This window comes from Homo sapiens, chromosome 1 (genome assembly GCF_000001405.40).
Source record: "Homo sapiens chromosome 1, GRCh38.p14 Primary Assembly".
NCBI lineage: Eukaryota > Metazoa > Chordata > Mammalia > Primates > Hominidae > Homo > Homo sapiens.
The window spans coordinates 160681698-160707272 of NC_000001.11; the positions used below are offsets into that span (position 1 = coordinate 160681698).

At 41.4% G+C, this 25575-nt stretch overlaps 2 protein-coding genes across 6 annotated transcripts in view; one reads left to right on the forward strand and one right to left on the reverse strand.

The window, feature by feature from the left end:
* The window catches only part of CD48 (CD48 molecule), a 33077-nt gene that overhangs the window by 2952 nt on the left and 4550 nt on the right, over positions 1-25575 (reverse strand). For 4 of the 5 annotated variants that reach the window (XM_005245625.1, NM_001778.4, XM_047435011.1 and 1 more), the window contains exon 2: positions 3190-3492. The exons of the other annotated variant lie outside the window; for it this stretch is intronic. In XM_005245625.1, the coding sequence (XP_005245682.1) occupies positions 3190-3492 (303 nt within the window). The remainder of the gene's footprint in view (positions 1-3189; positions 3493-25575) is intronic. 5 annotated transcript variants of the gene reach the window in all.
* Positions 1509-23661, forward strand: LOC124904439 (endogenous retrovirus group K member 18 Env polyprotein). Its single transcript, XM_047438433.1, has one exon. It carries the CDS (start codon positions 15631-15633, stop codon positions 17311-17313), a length of 1683 nt encoding a protein of 560 aa, XP_047294389.1. The 5' UTR covers positions 1509-15630; the 3' UTR covers positions 17314-23661.

Genomic DNA, 25575 nt, shown 5'->3' on the forward strand with positions numbered 1-25575 from the left:
GGGGGCGCCACAGTCCATCATATGCTCTGGGAACAAAATGGGGTTATGATCGTGTGTGAGCCTGAACGAACAGCCCAGAGACTTGCTGGGGTCAGACTTAGTATATCAACTGCCTGAGATGCTCAGGGACCCTTCTCTAGCAACGGTTCATGGCGGGCACCTTGGCTGGTCTGTCTTTCCAATTATCGGATTCAGCTTCAGCAAGAGTCCTAAGGTAAGAGGTACCTGTCTGCGCGTGGCAAAGTCCTTTGCACAACCATCCAGTGCAGGTGCCAGCCTTCTAGACTCTGGCAGAGCTACAGAGAAGAACTTCATGTAACTTCCAGCCGCATCAATTGTGATAAACAGATTGGTCTGCTAACTTTGGTATCTCCATGTCTAGCACAATCCCTGCCACATGGCAGGTATTCTATAAGTATCTCATGAAAGGATGAATGAAGTAGTTATGAGATAGAAAGGATAAAACACAGCCGGGTGCAGCGGCTCACACCTGTAATCTCAGCAATTTGGGAGGCTGAGGCAGGAGGATTGCTTGCAGCCAGGAGTTAAGAGACCAGCCTGGGCAACATTGAGAGACTCAGTTTCTAAAAAAAAAAAAGAAAGAAAAGAAAAGAAAAGTAGCCAGGTGTGGTGGTGTGCACTTTTAGTCCCTGCTACTCAGGAGGCTGAGGTAGGAGGATTGCTGGAGCCCAGGAGTTCCAGGGTGCAATAAACTATGATTATACCACTGCACTCCAGCTTGGGTAAGGAGAAGACCTTCAAAAAAAAAAAAAAAAGAAGAAAGAAAGGAAGAAAGAGAGAGAGAAGGGAAGAGAAGAGAGGAAAAAGAAAAAGAAGGGAGGGAGGGAGGGAGGGAGGCAAGTAGACACAAAAACACTAGTTTTGGAGTGAGACCAGCCTGGGTCCTGGACTTGACTCTAGTGGAGTGACATTAGGCAAGGTAGTTAACCCCCTTGCTGTCATCTGTAAACTGACTCTACCTCATCGCGCAATGTTAGTAAGATAAAACGTCACCTGTCATGGATAATTGCTTTTTGAAGAGTGTAAGTATTGCATACATTCTAGAGGCCATTTTACCATTATTACTGTTGTACTGCTGCCGGAGAGAATGAGAGATAGTCCCAGCATCTGGTCCTTCCTTGGCTAAGGCCGGTTTACCTGCAATCCTCTGAGATCTTTTCATTCTGGTCAGGGTGAAACATCTGCAGAATCAATGCAACTCAAATCCCATAAGATTAAAAATTGGCAGAGAATTGACCAGATCAGAGCTTGCCTCTTGGTTGTATGTGTGGAGAGGCTCTAGAAGCTCTACCAATCTGGTCTCTAGAACTCTAGTTTTGTCTCCTCTGTGAAGCTGATCTCAGATCGCTAAAAGATTGCTCAGACTACAGAGGTGATAAAAGTTTCCTGGACTTCCCCTATATGTTTTAATTGAGCAATTTTTATCCTGGTTTTCACCATTTCCTGTGTTCTAGCCTCATATCTTACACTCCTTCTGCATTTCCCATGGTGATCAGCACAGCACTGGGCACTTTGCTGATGGAATTAATTGAGCCAGCTTGGGTTGTCCAGCTCCAAGATGCTCGCTTTGAGCTGTCAGAAATGCTTGGGCTGGACCAGAGGACCATTTTTTCTGCTAATCACTTCCTGGAAATCTTACCCTCAGGCAGGATGTGCTGAAGCCCAAGCCAGTTTGTGGATTTTTAAGTACTCAGAAATTTTGCAAGCTTTTTGTGAAACCATTAGTTTATTGAAATCAACTGTGGTAGCAGTATTTAAACCACAGAAATTACAAAGTTGGTAAATGCTACGCTTTAGGGCTTTTTTTTTTTTTTTTAAATCTTGTAGAGCTTGTTAACCAGAACACCACTGTAAGAGACCTTGAATCTTTTTGTTCCCAGGACTTTCTGAATTTTCAGCCCATATGACATGGAAGAAGAGTTAGAAGGGGAATCTGACTGCTTGGATCAGGGACTGTCTGGCTGGTGGAACTTGAATGTATACAACACTCTTCATTTGCATGTTTTGACATTTTAAAAAATGTTTTCACTTTCCTTATCTACTTTGACTCTAATAACATCCTGAAAGGTAAGTAGAATTATTCTCATAATATGATGAAGAACCCAAGGCTCTCAAGGGAACACCACTCTTGGATTATTTAGCCCCGCTCTTCTACAAGAATTGCATACCCCAACCCCTGGAGCCCCTCCCCATATCCATGTTTCTGCCCTATAATCTGATCCTTTCACCAAAAATGTTTAGATCAGGTACACACACCTGAACTAAATTGGGACTATCAGTTTCTCTCTCTTTAAATTGCCCTGAGAATTGAAACTCAGAGGAGCAAAAGTCTAAGTTTTGAGAGATAACATGTGTAAAATGGCAGGAATCCAAATCCATAGGCACAGTCCACAGATTCCTGAAGCTAGGGGTTCTGGCCCGAACCTGGTTTTCAATCTTCTCCCCTTAAGCCCTTCCTAGCTCTTTTAAACTCTTTGAATTGCTTTAAATAGCCCTAGTTTCTTAAACTAAATTCTCCTTTTTTGGTAAAGGTACATTGAATTAGTTTCTGTTATTTGCTATCAAAAGAATCTTACCTAATATGGGCACAGAGATGTGAAGATCTTTTTTCAAGGCTGCACAGCTAGTGAGCAACTGACCAGTTTTGAACCCAAGTCTGTCTGGCTCCAGGTATAATGCCTGAGTCCTTATTCCATATACACTGGTTAGACTGGAGCTATGAGTGGAAGTTTTTTTGTCCTGCCCATTATGAAAGTTGAAAAATTCTCCTGATAACTCCTGCCCCATTCTTTATATTAATACATTCTCTTTTTTCTTAAGTCCAATGAAGCCTAATTTCGGAGATATAATCAAGATGAGCTGAGCTGATTTAGGTTGATCACAGGACAAAATGAAGGAAATAGGAAAAATCTCTAGTTTTCCTTCTCTTCAAAGCTTAGACTCACTAACTTCAGAAGAGGTGTTAAATGTCCTAAGATTGTTAATTTGGATATCTGTTGACCTAGGCTCACTCCCAAATAGAATTGGATCAAGGAAAAATGAATCAAACCTGTCCTGAGGTTTTTCTCTCCTCCTCCCCGAGAGTGCCCCATGCCTCCCAGGAAGCCCTACAGTGGTCCATCTGGGGCCACTGGAGTGGGGATTTGCTCTTTGGCTCCCCTGACTCACCAAGCACTTGCAGCTTGATCTTCCATTCTTGCTCATTCCCAGTCTTTTTCAACACCCTCATGATGTAGGTGCTGTTGTCCTCTTTCTGGACCTTAGAGATGTACAGTGCGCCACTCTGAGGATCAAGTCTGACCCTGCCTTTAAATTTGGATTCAAAGTACTTAGATTTTCTGGAATCCCATTCTACAATCTTCTGGTCGAAAGTATAAAACCAGGTTAGTTGTTTGTAGTTCTCAGGCAGGCTCTCAGAGATGTTCAGAGTCACGTTGCTGCCGGAGACCACGGTCATATGTACCAAGTGACCTGCCAATGAGATTCAGAGTGAGACCTGCGCTAGAGGAGGCAGTGTTGCTGACAGGCCCAGGGTATAGCCTGGGCTGGTGGAACAGGTGAGAAGGAAGGGATTTCTGCTTAGGAGCAGTGAGTATGGTTTTCACTGGAGGTCCAGGTCTCCTGCTTAGGAACTCAAGAAAAGTTGAAGCTTGAAAAGTGGGCATGGGGGAAGGGGATGCTGCTTATAATTAATCTAGTACTGTCCCCAGAAAATGAAAGAATTGAGTAAGGCCAACTGAGGTTGGGCCTGGCTCTCTCCCTTACTCTCATACCAGTAGACTTTCAAATAAACTGATGACAAGTCATATCTCTGCTCTGGTCTTGTGTTTCCTGTCTATTCTCATTTCAGTAAGCATGTTGTTAGTCCCTAGAGGCATAGACATAAAAAGTACATGATTCTGTTTAAAAATATTTAATATACCAATGTGGGAGGACAAACACACAAACAAATAATCCTAATATATTATCTTGATGACTATAATAAAGGTAACGTGGGGACCAAGGGAAAGCTTCCCCTTCACCTTCTGAAGGTTTGCCAAAAATCACTGACAAGAGGCAGATTAAGGAGGAAAGGCATACAGATCAATTTAACGTGTAAGCAGAGCCTTCCTAATGAAGAGCCAAAGATACAGGGCAAATTGTCCATTTTTATGCTTAGGTTCAACAAAGTATGGACAGTCATGGAGAAATATGATTGGACAAAAAGGGTATGATTGAATGCCAATAGACTGACTGCGGGAAACCCAGCAAGGCCTATCTTTCTAGATTCTGCTTGGCCTTTCTGTGCCAGATTCTTTCCTTCCTCCCGTGTGTGGGTCAGGCCCTCTCTAGAATGGGGGTCTTATGATTCACAATCAAACAAGATAGGTCAGATAATTTCTTTATAGCTATTTTTTTTTTACAGAGAAAGGCTCAAGGAAAGTTAGGGTGGTATATTTAAATTTTATGGCTGGCTTTGGGGAAAAGGGGTTTTGGCTTCTATGGCCCACCTTGGGAAAGAGGGATTCCAGTGTCTATGGCTAGCCTAGGGGAGAATGGGACTGATAGACAGGAGGGCAGGAGAAGGTCAGAGAAAAACTTTCACTTCTGAGGCTGCTTCTGAGGCCATCATTTTAGGGCATCATTTCCTGACTCCTGACAATAAACACAGTGTGCTATGGGAATATATTCCTATCCGGAGGGTAGGGATAGAAAATGGAGAAAATACTAAGAAAAATCTCTTTGGAGGAGATGACCACTAGGGTAAGCCAAAGGGTGATTAAAAGCTAATATTTGTTAAGAACTATCTGTCAGGCACTATTTGAGACACTTGGGATACATCAATGAACTAAGCAGCTATCGGGGAATCTGCCCTGATATTCACATAGGTTCTTTTCTATTTTTCCTAAGCATTGGCCAGCTTGAGAAATAAAGGGACAGAGTACAAAAGAGAGAAATTTTAAAGCTGAGCATCTGGGGGAGACATCACATGTCGGTAGGTTCCGTGATGCCCCACAAGCTACAAAAACCAGCAAGTTTTTATTAGAGATTTTCAAAAGGGGAGGGAGTGTGCAAATAGGTGTGGGTGACAGACATCAAGTACTTAACGGGGTATTAGAATACCATAAGGCAAGAGGAGGCAGGGCGAGATCACAGGACCACAGGACCGAGGTGAAATTAAAATTGCTAATGAAGTTTCGGGCACCATTGTCATTGATAACATCTTATCAGGAGACAGGGTTTTGAGATCAACCAGTCTGACCAAAATTTATTAGGCAGGAGTTTTCTCTTCCTAATAAGCCTGGGAGTGCTATGGGAGACTGGAGTCTATTTCACCTCTGCAGTTTCGACCATAAGAGACAGGAGCACCTGGGGGTGCTGTTTATAAGCCTATACCTCCAGGCGCGTATTCTCTTTCTCAGGGATGTTCCATGCTGAGAAAAAGAACTCAGCGATATTTCTCCCATTTGCTTTTGAAAGAAGAGAAATATGGCTCTGTTCTGCCTGGCTCACCGGTGGTCAGAGTTTAAGGTTATCTCTCTAGTTTCCTAAACATTGCTGTTATCTTGTTCTTTTTTCAAGGTGCCCAGATTTCATATTGTTTAAACACACGTGTTCTATAATTTGTGCAGTTAATGCAATTATCACATGGTCCTGAGGTGACATACATCCTCCTTGGCTGACAGGATTAAGAGATTAAAGTAAAGACAGGCATAGGAAATCACAAGGGTATTGACTGGGGAAGTGATAAGTGTCCATGAAATCTTTACAATTTATGTTTAGAGATTGCAGTAAAGACAGGCATAAGAAATTATGAAAGTATTAATTTGGGGAACTAATAAATGTCCATAAAATATTCACAATCCACGTTCTTCTGCCATGGCTTCAGCCGGTCCCTCCATTTGGGGTCCCTGACTTCCTGCAACATCTCTCCCTTTCTTTTTATATAAATGTGCCATGGCAATGAAGGCTTGTTCATTCTCTTGATTTTGACACAGGATTCTTTGAGTGGTCTGGGACACTAAAAACAAGCTGATTAAACACAGAAACATATTCCAAAATTTACTACAGTGGAGCCCCCAGTAGACTTAATCCAAGTAGTGGGGTTTAATCCATAAAGATTTTCTGCCACCTGATCTAATGCCTCAGCTCCAGGCATGATGGATAAGTGAGCTTGAGAGGCTTCAAAAATTTGTTTCTTTAATTTAGTTATGTCCAATGATAAATTATCTTCTCTACCTAGAAGGTGTCCTTTGACCATTTCCTATGAATGATCAGTCTCATTATAGGAATACGGGGTGATGCAGAAATCTGAAGTATTCCAATCGCACTGCATTTGCATGTGATGTTTGAGACTCACTACCTGATCTCCAAGCCAAATAACAGACTGTCTTAAATCATTAATTTGACTTGCCAATTTTTGATGGATGCCTTGTTGAGAATTCCACATTTGGGTGGAATTGGCTTGCCAATCATTAACAAAATGAGCCGTTTGAATAGATTGATGTAATGCCATTCCATCAGTGGTGGCCATTGCAGTGACTGTAATTAGGCCCGTGATAACAGCGATTAAAGTGAAAACAAATCTCTTAGATCTTTTTAGAATTTGCTGTAGCACTTCATTAATTAAATGTATTGGGGGGAGGATTCGCAAGGTCTAGGTAAAGTTACTGGAATCCAGATTCCTTCTCAAACTCGAACCAACATTACACTTTTCCTGGAGTCAAAATGGGAGTTAATACAAGTGTATAGATGACAATTAATGCATTGGAAAGTTTGATTATTTGTCCAAATTTTAATATTTCCTACTAACAGCATGTAAGGAGGCTTAACACAACTCTGTATGGGAATAGTCAGGTTGGAGGTAAGTAAAGCAGAATGTCTGGGTCTATGTTGATACTGAGAGAGTGGGACAGTAGTGGGAACAACAGTCAAAATAGTTTTCCCTTCCCATACTCGCAGTCCAGACATGGCAATAGCCAATTTCCAAAGTTCTGGGTGTTCTGGGCTCAGAATGGGGAGTATCATACGAGGCTTGGGGGGCGGGTAATGCCTTTATCTTCCCATTTTAAGGGAAAGAATGAGCTGATCCTCCTATGCAAAGTAGAATGATGATTCTCGTTCTCCTGATAAGAAATAAAATAATTAGCCTCCAGGAATTCCCTTCCACTAGAGGAGCAATTATTTTTTAAATAGCCCTTTGGTGCCCAGTCTATTACTAAACCATATGAGTCATTTTTTAATATTACTGCATGTGAGTTAACACAATCATCCTAAATTAAAGTTTTAGATGGGCCCTCAAAATTTTTAGGGCATGGTTTTCCTGCAGGTTTATATTGAAAGTATGGGGTATCTCCCATTACTTCTCCTTTCATTTGTTTTAAAGGAGAAAGGGAGAGGCCAGAGACTAAATGTCCTATTTTATCTGTAGCTGATGTTTTCGGAAGATAAGCAGCCTAGAATTGAGTTTCTAGGTGGATGCAACCAGGTGCATGTCCGAGGCACAGAGGGGGGTATTTATAATCTATGGTAACATTAAATGCAGTGCCTTCTTCTCCTGGTTGAGCAGGGCAACGGTCATCTGTGGCTCTAGGCATCTACACACTATCATTAGTGTAGATTTCTGCAGGAGCATCTATCTAGGTGAGAGGTCGAATAAGTGGAGGAAAAGGCACATAAGCCTAATAAGAATAATTATGTGTAGCAGGTAAATCAGTGTGAGAGGAAACTGGTGAGACAGAAAGTATAAGGAGGAGAATCATTAAATAAAACCTAGTGTAAGTGAGATTGAGTGCTGAAGGAGGAAGAGAAGAACAGAGGGATGTTATTTTCAGGCTAATAGAAATGGTGAGATTTTTAGGTTTGTAAGGAGAAAAAGAAAAGTAATCAGGAGAAGTGGGATTAGTTAGATGGGTCTCCACTGCCATCAGGGAGGATTGATTTACACCTATTGTGATTTGGTGTGCCTGTTTCTGAGGAGTCAGCAGAGATCTCACCACGTCTGAAGGCAATCTCTGACACAGATGTTTTTTGTCTGTGGTTTTAGTTGTCAGTATTCACCTGAAGCTTGAGTCTTCTGGTGGGTACCTAGACATGGGATTGATGATCTCCTGGTGAAACACAAGCATATCCTCTTCCCTACGTTATAATTGTGCCAGGTTCCTAGGTATTGGTTTGAGAGTTTTTCCATAACACTGACTTGCCTTCGTTTATGGAAAATTTTTTGCCTGTATAATGGCGTTTGGCTGCAGTTACAGTATTATCTTTAGGAACATTTAAAAAATTTAAAGTAAATAATGCCAAATGTAATTGGGAGTGTGGAGTAGTTAAATCATGTTTTGGTTGTTCAGACTGTTTGGACAATTGGGTTTTTAAAGTGCGATTGGCCTGTTCCACCACAGCCTGTCCTTGAGGATTGTAAGGGATTCTAGTAATATGGGAAATTCCTTACTGTTGTATAAATGAATCAAAAGCCTTACTAACATATCCAGGGGCATTGTCTGTCTTTATTTGATATGGAAGCCCCATAACTGCAAAGCAAGAATACAGATGTTTTTAAAAATGGGCCGTGCCTTCCCCTGTTTGTCAAGTAGCCCAGATAAAACCTGAGAAGGTATCTACTGAGACATGCACATATGACAGTCTGCCAAAGGAGCTAACATGAGTCACATCCATTTGCCATCAAGCATTAGGAGTTAGGCCTCTAGGCTTAACACCAGGTTCCTGATTTGGAAGTACGAAGACCTGGCACTGAGGGCAGCTGTGAACAATAAACTTAGCCTGTTTCTAGGTAAGAGCAAATTTATCTTTTAAGCCAGTGGCATTGACATGAGTGAGATTATGGAACTCCTGAGCTTCTTGGGTCATTAAAGACACCAAACAGTCAACTTCATGGTTACCAGCAGACATGGGTCCTGGTAAAGTGGTATGAGACCTAATATGTGTAATATAGGAAGGGTGTCTACACTGGTGAACCACCTGTTGTAACCTTGAAAATAAAGAAGCCAATTCAGAATTATCAATATGTTTGATAGTAGCAGTTTCTATATTTTTAGTGGCATGTACAACATAAGCGGAATCTGAGACTGTGGGGAAAAGCAAGAGAGGTCAGATTGTTACTGTGTCTGTATAGAAAGAAGTAGACATAGGAGACTCCATTTTGTTCTGTACTAAGAAAAATTATTCTGCCTTGAGATGCTGTTAATCTATGACCTTACCCCCAACCCCGTGCTCTCTGAAACATGTGCTGTGTCAAACTCAGGGTTAAATGGATTAAGGGCGGTGCAAGATGTGCTTTGTTAAACAGATGCTTGAAGGCAGCATGCTCATTAAGAGTCATCACCACTCCCTAATCTCAAGTACCCAGGGACACAAAAACTGCGGAAGCCTGCAGGGGCCTCTGCCTAGGAAAGCCAGGTATTGTCCAAGGTTTCTCCCCATGTGATAGTCTGAAATATGGCCTCGTGGGAAGGGAAAGACCTGACCGTCCCCCAGCCCGACACCCGTAAAGGGTCTGTGCTGAGGAGGATTAGTATAAGAGGAAAGCATGTCTCTTGCAGTTGAGACAAGAGGAAGGCATCTGTTTCCCGCCCATCCCTGGGCAATGGAATGTCTCGGTATAAAACCCGATTGTACGTTCCACCTACTGAGATAGGGAGAAACCACCTTAGGGCTGGAGGTGGGACATGCAGGCAGCAATACTGCTTTGTAAAGCATTGAGATGTTTATGTGTATGCATATCTAAAAGCACAGCATTTAATCCTTTACCTTGTCTATGATGCAAAGACCTTTGTTCACGTGTTTGTCTGCTCACCCTCTCCCCACTATTGTCTTGTGACCCTGACACATCTCCCTCTCGGAGAAACACCCACGAATGATCAATAAATACTAAGGGGACTCAGAGGCTGGTGGGATCCTCCATATGCTGAACGTTGGTTCCCCGGGCCCCCTTATTTCTTTCTCTATACTTTGTCTCTGTGTCTTTTTCTTTTCCAAGTCTCTCATTGCACCTTACGAGAAACACCCACAGGTGTGGAGGGGCAACCCACCCCTTCATCTGGTGCCCAACGTGGAGGCTTTTCTCTGGGGTGAAGGTACACTCGAGCGTGGTCATTGAGGACAAGTCGACAAGAGATCCCGAGTACATCTACAGTCAGCCTTACGGTAAGCTTGTGCACTCGGAAGAAGCTAGGGTGACAATGGGGCAAACTAAAACTAAAAGTAAATATGCCTCTTATCTTAGCTTCATTAAAATTCTTTTAAAAAGAGGGGGAGTTAGAGTATCCACCAAAAATCTAATCAAGCTATTTCAAACAACAGAACAATTTTGCCCATGGTTTCCAGAACAAGGAAATTTAGATCTAGAAGATTGGAAAAGAATTGGTAAGGAACTAAAACAAGCAGGTAGGAAGGGTAATATCATTCCACTTACAGTATGGAATGATTGGCCCATTATTAAAGCAGCTTTAGAACCATTTCAAACAGAAGATAGCGTTTCAGTTTCTGATGCCCCTGGAAGCTGTATAATAGATTGTAATGAAAAGACAAGGAAAAAATCCCAGAAGGAAACGGAAACTTTACATTGCGAATATGTAGCAGAGCCGTTAATGGCTCAGTCAACGCAAAATGTTGACTATAATCAATTACAGGAGGTGATATATCCTGAAACATTAAAATTAGAAGGAAAAGGTCCAGAATTAGTGGGGCCATTAGAGTCTAAACCACGAGGGCCAAGTCCTCTTTCAGCAGGTCAGGTGACCGTAACATTACAACCTCAAGCGCAGGTTAGAGAAAATAAGACCCAACTGCCAGTAGCTTATCAATACTGGCCACCGGCCGAACTTCAGTATCGGCCACCCCCAGAAAGTCAGTATGGATATCTAGGAATGCCCCCAGCACCACAGGGCAGGGAGCCATACCCTCAGCCGCCCACTAGGAGACAATCCTATGGCACCACCTAGTAGACAGGGTAGTGAATTACATGAAATTATTGAGAAGTCAAGAAAGGAAGGAGATACTGAGGCGTGGCAATTCCCAGTAACGTTAGAACCGATGCCACCTGGAGAAGGAGCCCAAGAGGGAGAGCCTCTCACAGTTGAGGCCAGATACAAGTCTTTTTAGATAAAAATGCTAAAAGATATGAAAGAGGGAGTAAAACAGTATGGACCCAACTCCCCTTATATGAGGACATTATTAGATTCCATTGCTCATGGACATAGACTCATTCCTTATGATTGGGAGATTCTGGCAAAATCATCTCTCTCACCCTCTCAATTTTTACAATTTAAGACTTGGTGAATTGATGGGGCACAAGAACAGGTCCGAAGAAATAGGGCTGCCAATCCTCCAGTTAACATAGATGCAGATCAACTATTAGGAACAGGTCAAAATTGGAGCACTATTAGTCAACAAGCATTAATGCAAAATGAGGCCATTGAGCAAGTTAGAGCTATCTGCCTTAGAGCCTGGGAAAAAATCCAAGACCCAGGAAGCGCCTGCTCCACATTTAATACAGTAAGACAAGGTTCAAAAGAGCCCTACCCTGATTTTGTGGCAAGGCTCCAAGATGTTGCTCAAAAGTCAATTGCCAGTGAAAAAGCCCGTAAGGTCATAGTGGAGTTGATGGCATACGAAAACGCCAATCCTGAGTGTCAATCAGCCATTAAGCCATTAAAAGGAAAGGTTCCCGCAGGATCAGATGTAATCTCAGAGTATGTAAAAGCCCGTGATGGAATTGGAGGAGCTACGCATAAAGCTATGCTTATGGCCCAAGCAATAACAGGAGTTGTTTTAGGAGGACAAGTTAGAACATTTGGAGGAAAATGTTATAATTGTGGTCAAATTGGTCATTTAAAAAAGAATTGCCCAGTCTTAAATAAACAGAATATAACTATTCAAGCTACTACAACAACAGGTAGAGAGCCACCTGACTTATGTCCAAGATGTAAAAAAGGAAAACATTGGGCTAGTCAATGTCATTCTAAATTTGATAAAAATGGGCAATCATTGTCGGGAAACTACCAAAAGGGCTAGTCAATGTCGTTCCAAATTTGATAAAAATGGGCAACCATTGTCGGGAAACTAGCAAAGGGGCCAGCCTCAGGCCCTGCAACAAACTGGGGCATTCCCAATTCAGCCCTTTGTTCCTCAGGGTTTTCAGGGACAACAACCCCCACTGTCCCAAGTACCTCAGGGAATAAGCCAGTTACCACAGTACAACAATTGTCCCCCGCCACAAGTGGCAGTGCAGCAGTAGATTTATGTACTATACAAGCAGTCTCTCTGCTTCCAGGGGAGCCCCCACAAAAAATCCCCACAGGAGTATATGGCCCGCTGCCTGAGGAGACTGTAGGACTAATCTTGGGAAGATCACGTCTAAATCTAAAAGGAGTTCAAATTCATACTGGTGTGGTTGATTCAGACTATAAAGGTGAAATTCAATTGGTTATTAGCTCTTCAATTCCTTGGAGTGCCAGTCCAGGAGACAGGATTGCTCGATTATTACTCCTGCCATATATTAAGGTTGGAAATAGTGAAATAAAAAGAACAGGAGGGTTTGGAAGCACTGATCCGACAGGAAAGGCTGCATATTGGGCAAGTCAGGTCTCAGAGAACAGACCTGTGTGTAAGGCCGTTATTCAAGGAAAACAGCTTGAAGGATTGGTAGACACTGGAGCAGATGTCTCTATCATTGCTTTAAATCAGTGGCCAAAAAATTGGCCTAAACAAAAGACTGTTACAGGACTTGTCGGCATAGTCACAGCCTCAGAAGTGTATCAGAGTACTGAGATTTTACATTGCTTAGGGCCACATAATCAAGAAAGTACTGTTCAGCCAATGATCACTTCAATTCCTCTTAATCTGTGGGGTCGAGATTTGTTACAACAATGGGGTGCGGAAATCACCATGACCGCTACATTATATAGCCCCATGAGTCAAAAAATCATGACCAAGATGGGATATATACCAGGAAAGGGACTAGGAAAAAATGAAGATGGCATTAAAGTTCCAATTGAGGCTAAAATAAATCACGGAAGAGAAGGAACAGGGTATCCTTTTTAGGGGTGACCACTGTAGAGCCTCCTAAACCCATACCGTTAACTTGGAAAACAGAAAAACTGGTGTGGGTAAATCAGTGGCCGCTACCAAAACAAAAACTGGAGGCTTTACATTTATTAGCAAATGAACAGTTAGAAAAGGGACATATTGAGCCTTCATTCTCGCCTTGGAATTCTCCTGTGTTTGTAATTCAGAAGAAATCCAGCAAATGGCGTATGTTAACTGACTTAAGGGCTGTAAATGCCGTAATTCAACCCATGGGGCCTCTCCAACCTGGGTTGCCCTCTCCAGCCATGATCCCAAAAGATTGGCCTTTAATTATAATTGATCTAAAGGACTGCTTTTTTACCATCCCTCTGGCAGAGCAGGATTGTGAAAAATTTGCCTTTACTATACCAGCCATAAATAATAAAGAACCAGCCACCAGGTTTCAGTGGAAAGTGTTACCTCAGGGAATGCTTAATAGTCCAACTATTTGTCAGACTTTTGTAGGTCGAGCTCTTCAACCAGTTAGAGACAAGTTTTCAGACTGTTATATTATTCATTATTTTGATGATATTTTATGTGCTGCAGAAACGAAAGATAAATTAATTGACTGTTATACATTTCTGCAAGCAGAGGTTGCCAATGCAGGACTGGCAATAGCATCTGATAAGATCCAAACCTCTACTCCTTTTCATTATTTAGGGATGCAGATAGAAAATAGAAAAATTAAGCCACAAAAAATAGAAATAAGAAAAGACACATTAAAAACACTAAATGATTTTCAAAAATTGCTGGGAGATATTAATTGGATTCGGCCAACTCTAGGCATTCCTACTTATGCCATGTCAAATTTGTTCTCTATCTTAAGAGGAGACTCAGACTTAAATAGTAAAAGAATGTTAACCCCAGAGGCAACAAAAGAAATTAAATTAGTGGAAGAAAAAATTCAGTCAGCGCAAATAAATAGAATAGATCCCTTAGCCCCACTCCAACTTTTGATTTTTGCCACTGCACATTCTCCAACAGGCATCATTATTCAAAATACTGATCTTGTGGAGTGGTCATTCCTTCCTCACAGTACAGTTAAGACTTTTACATTGTACTTGGATCAAATAGCTACTTTAATTGGTCCGACAAGATTACGAATAATAAAATTATGTGGAAATGACCCAGACAAAATAGTTGTCCCTTTAACCAAGGAACAAGTTAGACAAGCCTTTATCAATTCTGGTGCATGGCAGATTGGTCTTGCTAATTTTGTGGGAATTATTGATAATCATTACCCAAAAACAAAAATCTTCCAGTTCTTAAAATTGACTACTTGGATTCTACCTAAAATTACCAGATGTGAACCTTTAGAAAATGCTCTAACAGTATTTACTGATGGTTCCAGCAATGGAAAAGTGGCTTACACAGGGCCAAAAGAACGAGTAATCAAAACTCCATATCAATCGGCTCAAAGAGCAGAGTTGGTTGCAGTCATTACAGTGTTACAAGATTTTGATCAACCTATCAATATTATATCAGATTCTGCATATGTAGTACAGGCTACAAGGGATGTTGAGACAGCTCTAATTAAATATAGCATGGACGATCAGTTAAACCAGCTATTCAATTTATTACAACAAACTGTAAGAAAAAGAAACTTCCCATTTTATATTACTCATATTCGAGCACACACTAATTTACCAGGGCCTTTGACTAAAGCAAATGAACAAGCTGACTTACTGGTATCATCTGCATTCATAAAAGCACAAGAACTTCATGCTTTGACTCATGTAAATGCAGCAGGATTAAAAAACAAATTTGATGTCACATAGAAACAGGCAAAAGATATTGTACAACATTGCACCCAGTGTCAAGTCTTAGACCTGCCCACTCAAGAGGCAGGAGTTAACCCAGAGGTCTGTGTCCTAATGCATTATGGCAAATGGATGTCACGCATGTACCTTCATTTGGAAGATTATCATATGTCATGTAACAGTTGATACTTATTCACATTTCATGTGGGCAACTTGCCAAACAGGAGAAAGTACTTCCCATGTTAAAAAACATTTATTGTCTTGTTTTGCTGTAATGGGAGTTCCAGAAAAAATCAAAACTGACAATGGACCAGGATATTGTAGTAAAGCTTTCCAAAAATTCTTAAGTCAGTGGAAAATTTCACATACAACAGGAATTCCTTATAATTCCCAAGGACAGGCCATAGTTGAAAGAACTAATAGAACACTCAAAACTCAATTAGTTAAACAAAAAGAAGGGGGAGACAGTAAGGAGTGTACCACTCCTCAGATGCAACTTAATCTAGCACTCTATACTTTAAATTTTTTAAACATTTATAGAAATCAGACTACTACTTCTGCAGAACATCTTACTGGTAAAAAGAACAGCCCACATGAAGGAAAACTAATTTAGTGGAAAGATAATTAAAATAAGACATGGGAAATAGGGAAGCTGATAACGTGGGGGAGAGGTTTTGCTTGTGTTTCACCAGGAGAAAATCAGCTTCCTGTTTGGATACCCACTAGACATTTGAAGTTCTACAATGAACCCATCAGAGATGCAAAGAAAAGCGCCTCCACGGAGATGGTAACACCAGTCACATGGATGGATAATCCTATAGAAGTATATGTTAATGATAGTGTATGGGTACCTGGCCCCACAGATGATCGCTGCCCTGCCAAACCTGAGGAAGAAGGGATGATGATAAATATTTCCATTGGGTATCATTATCCTCCTATTTGCCTAGGGAGAGCACCAGGATGTTTAATGCCTGCAGTCCAAAATTGGTTGGTAGAAGTACCTACTGTCAGTCCTAACAGTAGATTCACTTATCACATGGTAAGCGGGATGTCACTCAGGCCACGGGTAAATTATTTACAAGACTTTTCTTATCAAAGATCATTAAAATTTAGACCTAAAGGGAAAACTTGCCCCAAGGAAATTCCTAAAGGATCAAAGAATACAGAAGTTTTAGTTTGGGAAGAATGTGTGGCCAATAGTGTGGTGATATTACAAAACAATGAATTCGAAACTATTATAGATTGGGCACCTCGAGGTCAATTCTACCACAATTGCTCAGGACAAACTCAGTCGTGTCCAAGTGCACAAGTGAGTCCAGCTGTTGATAGCGACTTAACAGAAAGTCTAGACAAACATAAGCATAAAAAATTACAGTCTTTCTACCTTTGGGAATGGGAAGAAAAAGGAATCTCTACCCCAAGACCAAAAATAATAAGTCCTGTTTCTGGTCCTGAACATCCAGAATTGTGGAGGCTTACTGTGGCCTCACACCACATTAGAATTTGGTCTGGAAATCAAACTTTAGAAACAAGATATCGTAAGCCATTTTATACTATCGACCTAAATTCCATTCTAACGGTTCCTTTACAAAGTTGCATAAAGCCCCCTTATATGCTAGTTGTAGGAAATATAGTTATTAAACCAGCCTCCCAAACTATAACCTGTGAAAATTGTAGATTGTTTACTTGCATTGATTCAACTTTTAATTGGCAGCACCGTATTCTGCTGGTGAGAGCAAGAGAAGGCATGTGGATCCCTGTGTCCACGGACCGACCGTGGGAGGCCTCGCCATCCATCCATATTTTGACTGAAATATTAAAAGGCATTTTAAATAGATCCAAAAGATTCATTTTTACTTTAATTGCAGTGATTATGGGATTAATTGCAGTCACAGCTACGGCTGCTGTGGCAGGAGTTGCATTGCACTCTTCTGTTCAGTCAGTAAACTTTGTTAATTATTGGCAAAAGAATTCTACAAGATTGTGGAATTCACAATCTAGTATTGATCAAAAATTGGCAAGTCAAATTAATGATCTTAGACAAACTGTCATTTGGATGGGAGACAGGCTCATGACCTTAGAACATCATTTCCAGTTACAGTGTGACTGGAATACGTCAGATTTTTGTATTACACCCCAAATTTATAATGAGTCTGAGCATCACTGGGACATGGTTAGACGCCATCTACAGGGAAGAGAAGATAATCTCACTTTAGACATTTCCAAATTAAAAGAACAAATTTTCGAAGCATCAAAAGCCCATTTAAATTTGGTGCCAGGAACTGAGGCAATTGCAGGAGTTGCTGATGGCCTCGCAAATCTTAACCCTGTCACTTGGATTAAGACCATCAGAAGTACTATGATTATAAATCTCATATTAATCATTGTGTGCCTGTTTTGTCTGTTGTTAGTCTGCAGGTGTACCCAACAGCTCCGAAGAGACAGTGACATCGAGAACGGGCCATGATGACGATGGCGGTTTTGTCGAAAAGAAAAGGGGGAAATGTGGGGAAAAGCAAGAGAGATGAGATTGTTACTGTGTCTGTATAGAAAGAAGTAGACATAGGAGACTCCATTTTGTTCTGTACTAAGAAAAATTCTTCTGCCTTGAGATGCTGTTAATCTATGACCTTACCCCCAACCCCGTGCTCTCTGAAACATGTGCTGTGTCAAACTCAGGGTTAAATGGATTAAGGGCGGTGCAAGATGTGCTTTGTTAAACAGATGCTTGAAGGCAGCATGCTCATTAAGAGTCATCACCACTCCCTAATCTCAAGTACCCAGGGACACAAACACTGCGAAAGACCGCAGGGACCTCTGCCTAGGAAAGCTAGGTATTGTCCAAGGTTTCTCCCCATGTGATAGTCTGAAATATGGCCTCGTGGGAAGGGAAAGACCTGACCATCCCCCAGACCAACACCCGTAAAGGGTCTGTGCTGAGGAGGATTAGTATAAGAGGAAAGCATGCCTCTTGCAGTTGAGAGAAGAGGAAGACATCTGTCTCCTGCCCATCCCTGGGCAATGGAATGTCTCAGTATAAAACCCGATTGAACATTCCATCTACTGAGATAGGGAAAAACTGCCTTAGGGCTGGAGGTGGGACATGTGGGCAGCAATACTGCTTTGTAAAGCATTGAGATGTTTATGTGTATGCATATCTAAAAGCACAGCACTTGATCCTTTACCTTGTCTATGATGCAAAGACCTTTGTTCACGTGTTTGTCTGCTCACCCTCTCCCCACTATTGTCTTGTGACCCTGACACATCCCCCTCTCGGAGAAACACCCACGAATGATCAATAAATACTAAGGGAACTCAGAGGCTGGCGGGATCCTCCATATGCTGAACGTTGGTTCCCCGGGCCCCCTTATTTCTTTCTCTATACTTTGTCTCTGTGTCTTTTTCTTTTCCAAGTCTCTCGTTCCACCTTATGAGAAACACCCACAGGTGTGGAGGGGCAACCCACCCCTTCATGAGACAATATTTAAAGGTTTGGGGAAATCCTGTAAGGCAGTAATCACAGCAATTAACTCCGCCTTTTGAGCAGAAGTATAAGAGGTAGAAATAAGTTTGTCTGTAGGACTTACATAGCCAGCATTGCCATTACTGGAGCCATCAGTGAACACTGTAACGGCCTCAGGAATGGGTTGATTTTTGGTTAATCGAGGAACCACCTAAGAAGTCATTTTTATAAAATCAAATAATTTGTTTTTTGGATAATGATTGTCAATAACGCCAATAAAATCAGCCAAGTGAATTTGCCACAGTACAGAATGTTGAAAGGCAGCTTGAACTTTGAGCCAATTTAAAGGAACTACAATTATATTTGGATCAAATCCAGAAATTTGAAGTATTCTGCACCAAGCCTGTCTAATTAATATGGCTATTTGGTCTAGATAAACAGACAAAGTTTTTGAGACAGAATAAGGAAGAAAACATCACTCCACTAAATCATTATGTTGAACTATTAGTCCAGTAGGGGAGTGTAATGAAGCAAAAACTAGAAGCTGAAAAGGCTGAAATGGCTGTACTCTAGATAACTGGGCAGTCTGGATTCTTTCTTCTACAAATTCCAGTTCTATTAAAGCCTCAGAGGTCAAAATCCTGGCGCTGTGGAGATTGGAATCTCCCCGCAACATAGAAATCAAGTTAGACAGTGCATAGGTTGGAATGCCTAAAGTAGGTCTTAAATAATTAATGTTACCTAAAAGTTTGTGGAAGTCATCTAAAGTTTTTAAAGAATCTCTCCTAATTTGAACTTTTTGAGGTTGAATACATTGTTTATCGACCACCATTCCTAAATATTGAACAGGAGTGGTCTGATGAATTTTATCTTGAGCAATGTGTAATCCAGCCTCTATAACACAGCAGCTCAAAATTTGGTAACAGTCAATTCTTTATCAGTGGGGGCAGCAATTAAAATATCATCAATATAATGATGAATATAGGCCTCGGGAAATTGGGCTTGAACTGGTGAAAGCACTTGCCCAACATAAAGCTGGCAGATTGTAGGGCTATTTAGCATTCCTTGAGGAAGTACTTTCCATTGATAATGAACTGCAGGTTCCTGATTATTGATAGATGGTACAGTAAAAGCAAATTTTTCACAATCTGATTTATGTAAAGCAATATAAAAAAAAATCTTTAAGATCAATAACTATGAGAGGCTAATTTTTAGGTATTAAAGCCAGGTTGGACGGCCCCCATAGGTTTAATTACAGCATTAATGGCCCTTAAATCGGTTACCATCCGCCATTTGCCTGATTTCTTTTTTACTAGGAACACAGGAGAATTCTAAGGGGAAAGAGAATGTTCCACATATCCAAGTTGCAACTGCTCAGAAACCAATTGATTTAAAGCCTCCAGTTTTTCTTTAGAAAGCGGCCACTGCTGAACCTAAACGGGAGTTTTAGGTTTCCATTGTAAGGGAATGGGATCAGGAGGTATGGCAGTGGCTGCCACTAAAAAGAATAACCTAAACCAGCCCTGTTTTCTTTTATAGTGACTGGGAGGGGTTTGGTAATCCAGGAACAAACCTTATATTTTCCATCATATGCTGACTGGGAGCACTAGAAGAGTTATGTGGAATATTAATTTCAGCCCTCTATTTTGCCAGTAAATCTCTACCCCAAAGATTAATGTGAATTGGCATGATATAGGGCTGAATTGTACCTTTTTGACCATCAGGGCCAGTGCAAAGCAAGATAAATGTGCTCTGATAAATTTCCTCGGCCTTTCCAACACCTACTAGTCCTACCTTAGTGGGATGTTTAAGCCAAGAGGAAGGCCATAAACTAGAGGAAATAACAGAAACTTCGGCACCAGTATCTACTAGGCCCTCAAACTTTTTTCCTTGAATGTGTATGATGCAGGTGGGCCGTTGTTTAGAAATTACATTAATCCAGTAAGTGGCCTTTTCACCGCCGGAGCCTATCCCAGGGCCACATGTCTTATCGCCTTTGTTTAAAATGATATTAGGTAGTAAAAGCAGTTGAGCAACTGACTCACCAGACGCAATGGAAATAGGAAACTTGGCAGACACAATTAATTTAATCTCATCAACAGAATCAGAATTAATGAGACCAGTATGAATGGTGAATCCTTTAGCAGAGGTGGATGCTCTACCTAACACCAGGCCCACTGAACCTTGAGGTAAAGGGCCAGTGACCCCCGTGGGGACAATCAAAGGCAAAGAATCAGGAAGTAAATTTAGAGGAATAGTACTAAAGAGATCAACCACCCCGCCTCCTACTGTGGAGGAGGACAAGCATTGTACTGAGACAGAAGTAGAGGCTGGGACCTATTTGGTTTGGTTGTAGGTAGATTTGTTTGTGCTGGGGGTTGCACTGGGACTGCCTGAAGTGGAAACGCAATGTTGGTCTGAGTTTGAAGTGTCCTATTTGATGTCGGGTCCATCCCAGGCCCCGCTCCCTGTTTCCCTGGTGTTGTGGTAGGGGGTTTCCATCTACATTATACCTAGAGCGGCAAACATTTGCCCAATGTTTACCTTTGCGACAACGTGGGCAAACAGTAGGAGCAGCATTTGGCCATGTTTGTTGAACCGACTTGGCCGCTTGTAAGTTTTTAACAGTGCAACTTTTTTGAATATGACCAAGTTGGCCACAATTATAGCAGGCTCCAAGAGAAGAATTAATGGGACCAGTTTGGTTGGTGTCCTTCATGGCCGGTGCCCACAGAATAGCTTTGTGGGTATCTGATCCAATGCCTTCACAAGCTTTAATATATGCAGGCAACACCTCGTGATCAGGTAAATTTTGCGTTGGACAGAATGCATGGCCATTTTACATTCATGGTTTGCATTTTCAAAAGCTAACATATAAAGGAGAATGCCTTGAGTGCGCTCATCAGAGACAGATTTTTGAACAGCATCTTGTAATTTAGCCAAAAAATCTGGGTATAATTCAGAGTGACTTTGTTTAACTATGGTAAAAGGAACAGGAGCTTGGCCTGGAGCGTGTAATTTATCCCAAGCTCTCATACACACCTTTGTTACTTGTTCTGTGGTAAGGGCATCAAAGTTTAACTGGGCATAAGCATCAGAGAAACTATCGGAGCCTGTGAGCTGAGCCTGAGTAATTAGAATGCCATTACTGCTATTTAGCTGAGCCTGCAAATGGGCCTCTTCTGACCACCAGGTATGGAATACGGAATTGTAAATGCTGAGATGGGGTTAGAACAGCTTTTGCCAAAAGGTCCCAATCTAAGGGAAGTAAGTGACTTCAGTACGAAAAGTTTGTAAAACCATCTTAACATAAGGAGAAGTAGGACCATACTGAGTACAAGCATCCCTAAATTCTTTTAAAAAAGGTAAGATTGAACAGCGCATATCGATGCAGACCGGTTTAGGACCCGAAACGACAGGAGGGTGAGGGGCTGTAGTGGATGGGGGATGGCCTGGAGAATGATAGGTAAAGTGTAGTTTGGTCCTGGAGCCATTAGCTGATGCTGGAGGTTTGAAGAGAGAAGAATTAGCATATCTATGGTACATGCAGCAAAGATCCCTACCTTAACAGAGCTTGCATTAGAGTGGGGTGAAAAAACGTAAGCAATCAACACACTAACAGAACACACTGTATAGTATGTAAGGAGATGATAACTGCCATGACAGAGGAGAAAACCTAGAATAAGGTAAGGGGAGTCACAAGTACTGGTAGGGGCAAAAGGGTGAACTTCATTTATAAGGTGATAAGTAGGTCACATCTGAGTAAAGACTTGGAGGAGAGAGGTGGCCAAGAGGGTATCTGGGGTAGGAGGGACCCAGACAGAGGAAAGAGCCAGAGCAAAGGCCCTGGGGCAGGGATTTGCCTGCCATACATAAACAACAGCAAGGAGGTGGCGAGTGGGTAGTGTGGAGTGAACAAGGGGATTGGGTGTTGAGAGACACAGTCAGAGAGGGAGTGAGATTGGAGAGAGTAGATACATTTTAGCTTTATTAATAATGTCTTGTCCTGTAAAAAAAAAATGCTTTCCTGTAAAAGTGGCTCATGTCTTGTGTGTGCATTTACAATGTATTTAGAAGCAAGTTATTAGAAGGTAACAAAGTGGAGACTGTATAAACCATTGTTTCACAAAGTTTGGATCAGAGGCAGATTTCCCGTGAAAGTGATGAAGCTGAAGCTTCAGGGCTTCTTGGATGGCCCTGGAGGAGCCCTAGCAGTATTCATGTAATCCATTTTACAAAACATATCTTAAACATTAATTAGACCACAGCCTCTGTCTACTCTAACATCCCCTTCATCACATTTCTGTTTTTGTTGGGTGGCATCTCAGTTATGGGCATTTTGAGGTCTGGCCAAGGGGAAGTAGAAATGGGAAGTACTTAGTTGGGGTTAGCGGGATACATGTATGAGGGTTGCAAACTCTTGTGTGTGAAGTTCCCGCTACCCACTTCAGTGAAGAAATGGCATCCAGGAATATTCTTGCTGCCCTCTGCACTGACTCACTGGCAATGGCCATGGACATGTTGCAATCGGGCTGCAGGTGGGAAGCAGAGGAGAAAGCAGGTTGGAAGTGAACAACAGCCAGAGCTATTCAGTAGCAAAGTATTGTGGAAGCACGAAGGCATTTAATTAACTAAAATTATGCTGCTATTTTTTATGCTGTCATGTTCTTTGTAGTATTTGTATTTTTTTAACCTGAACTAATTCCCTGGGATTTCTTTTTTTTTATTCTAATTGAATTTATTTTTGTTCCTATTTGTATTTCCAGTTTTGTTCTTTTATTATTTTTCTTTTTCATGAGAATACTCCAAATTATATAAGCCTCAGGTCATTTTTAAAAACCTGGTTTGGTTAAGATAAGGAGAAAGAAAAGATGATAAGGACAAAGTACAAGATGAAGGGAGGTCCATTGGTCCTTTTTGTGGAGGGAGAACTTAGAATATGTATACAAAGGCTAAACAAGAGCTGTGGAATAAAAGCTAAAGGTAGAAGAAGAGGAAATATGTCCTATATCACTCTGGTGTCATATGCTGCCGCACAAAAACTCAGTTGTACTCTTCAACATGATATATACTAGCTGTTCACTTTCCACATATCCATCATTTCCAAAAACATTCTCAACCACTAAAAGATAAAAATGTCTGTGACCCCAGGGCTTTCAAGTTCCTGTTCATTCAGCCTTCCAACCATTCATCCATCTATTCAACAAATGTTTATTAAGCACTTACCCTGTCCTGGTTTGTACACGGAAATACCTAGGCATTCATTTCTACAGTGCTTCTGATTGGTCCAGCCCATGCCCTATAATCCCTCTGACAGAATAAGTTCAACCCTCATACATGTATCCCACTAACCCCAACTAAGTACTTCCCATTTCTACTTCCCCTTGGCCAGACCTCAAAATGCCCATAACTGAGATGCCACCCAACAAAAACAGAAATGTGATGAAGGGGATGTTAGAGAAGACAGAGGCTGTGGTCTAATTAATGTTTAAGATATGTTTTGTAAAATGGATTACATGAATACAGTCATCGCACAACCACAACATGCCTGGCGCTGTGCTAGACTCTGCTGTCAGCAAGGCAGATACAGTCTCTGGCCTCTTGGAGCATACAGCCTAGGAGGACATTCTTTCTAGGAGTTTAAAATCACTAGACATATTCCAGATTTGTTCTCCTTCTGTTAGTTGTTTCCACATGAATTAATAGAAGCGGTCATAATAGGCAGTCTAGATCAATGTTTTTCAGTCTTGACATTATTGACATTTTGGGCCACATAATTCTTTTTTGTAGGGGGCTGTTCTGTGCATTGTAAGATGTTTGCCAGCATTCCTGGTATCTGCCCACTAGGTGCCAGTAACACTTGTCCAGTTGTGACAGCCAAAAATGTATCCAGATATTGCCAAATGTCCCTTGAGGGACAAAATTCTCCCACATTCACCCTGGTTGAGAAGTACTGAGCTAGGTCATCTTTGGCAGACTCCCCAGGATGTCTCAGACTTACACTCAGGAAGATAGCACAATCCACTGTCTGATGACAGAGGCAGGTAGTAACACCAGACAGATCACTTATATATATATAATTTTTTTTATGGAGTTTCACTTTTGTCACCCAGGCTGGAGTGCAGTGGTGCAATCTCAGCTCACTGCAACCTCCACCCCCCAGGTTCAAGCAATTCTCCTGCCTCAGCCTCCCAAGTAGCTAGGATTACAGGCATGCACCACCACGCCGGGCTAATTTTTTGTATTTAGTAGATACGGGGTTTCACCATGTTGGTCAGGCTAGTCTCAAACTCCTGACCTCAGGTGATCCACCTGCTTCGGCCTCCCAAAGTGCTGGGATTACAGGTGTGAACCACCATGCTCAGCCAATTTCAGTATATTATGAGTGCTGATGACAGGTAAGCATACAGTATTGTATCTTTCTTCTCTCCCTCCTTAACCACCCATGTGTAACAATTCCAAAAAGGCTGTCCTGATGGTTGGCTGTAACTTCTTACCGAGAAATAAAGAAGTGATTAACTGCTGATAAAATCTTGATTTGCCTTCTTAACAATTCCACTTTTTAGGAAGTAGCTGAAGCAACCTTTTAAAAAACTACTATTTTGATTTAATTCTAACAGGAAGTATTTGGTGATATGTCTGGATGATTGGGATAAAGTAACAAAGTTGGATCTTATTCTTTTACTTTCTTAATGAACTCGCTTTCACTTTTAAAAAAAAGAAGAAGAAATAGAACCAGATCCTGTCTGTGCCCGCCCATGTTTCTAGTCTGTAGAAAAACAGAATTGTAACGGGAAAAAATTCAGATCAAAGGAAGTCATAATCCCAGGACCATAGAGTCTCCCCAGGAAAGGGAAAGGTTTTAAAGAGTAAGTTCCGGTTACTCCAATAAAACAAGACACATGGTTGGCTTCTTTGGTTTCCTCATATATTGAGAAAAATAAAAATAATAAAAACAAAACACATGGTTTCTAGTAAAACTCTTAAGGAAGAAAAGAAGATGAGTGTTAAGGATGTGGAGACAGAGTTACCTGAAGCTCTCTCATAAGATTAAATATTTAACAAGCCTGTACAACCCTTTTTAGGAAGTAATTTTGCAATAGCTACCAAGACCTCAGGTTTGTGTCTTGGTGAGAAGCTGAGCAGGCTACTATTTTTTGAGATGGGAACTATAATGAGTTCAGTGGGCAACACTGCAATGCAATCTGAAGGTGAGGAAGGAGAAACAATAAAAATAGACTCTTCTCTTCAGACGTTGCAATTTGA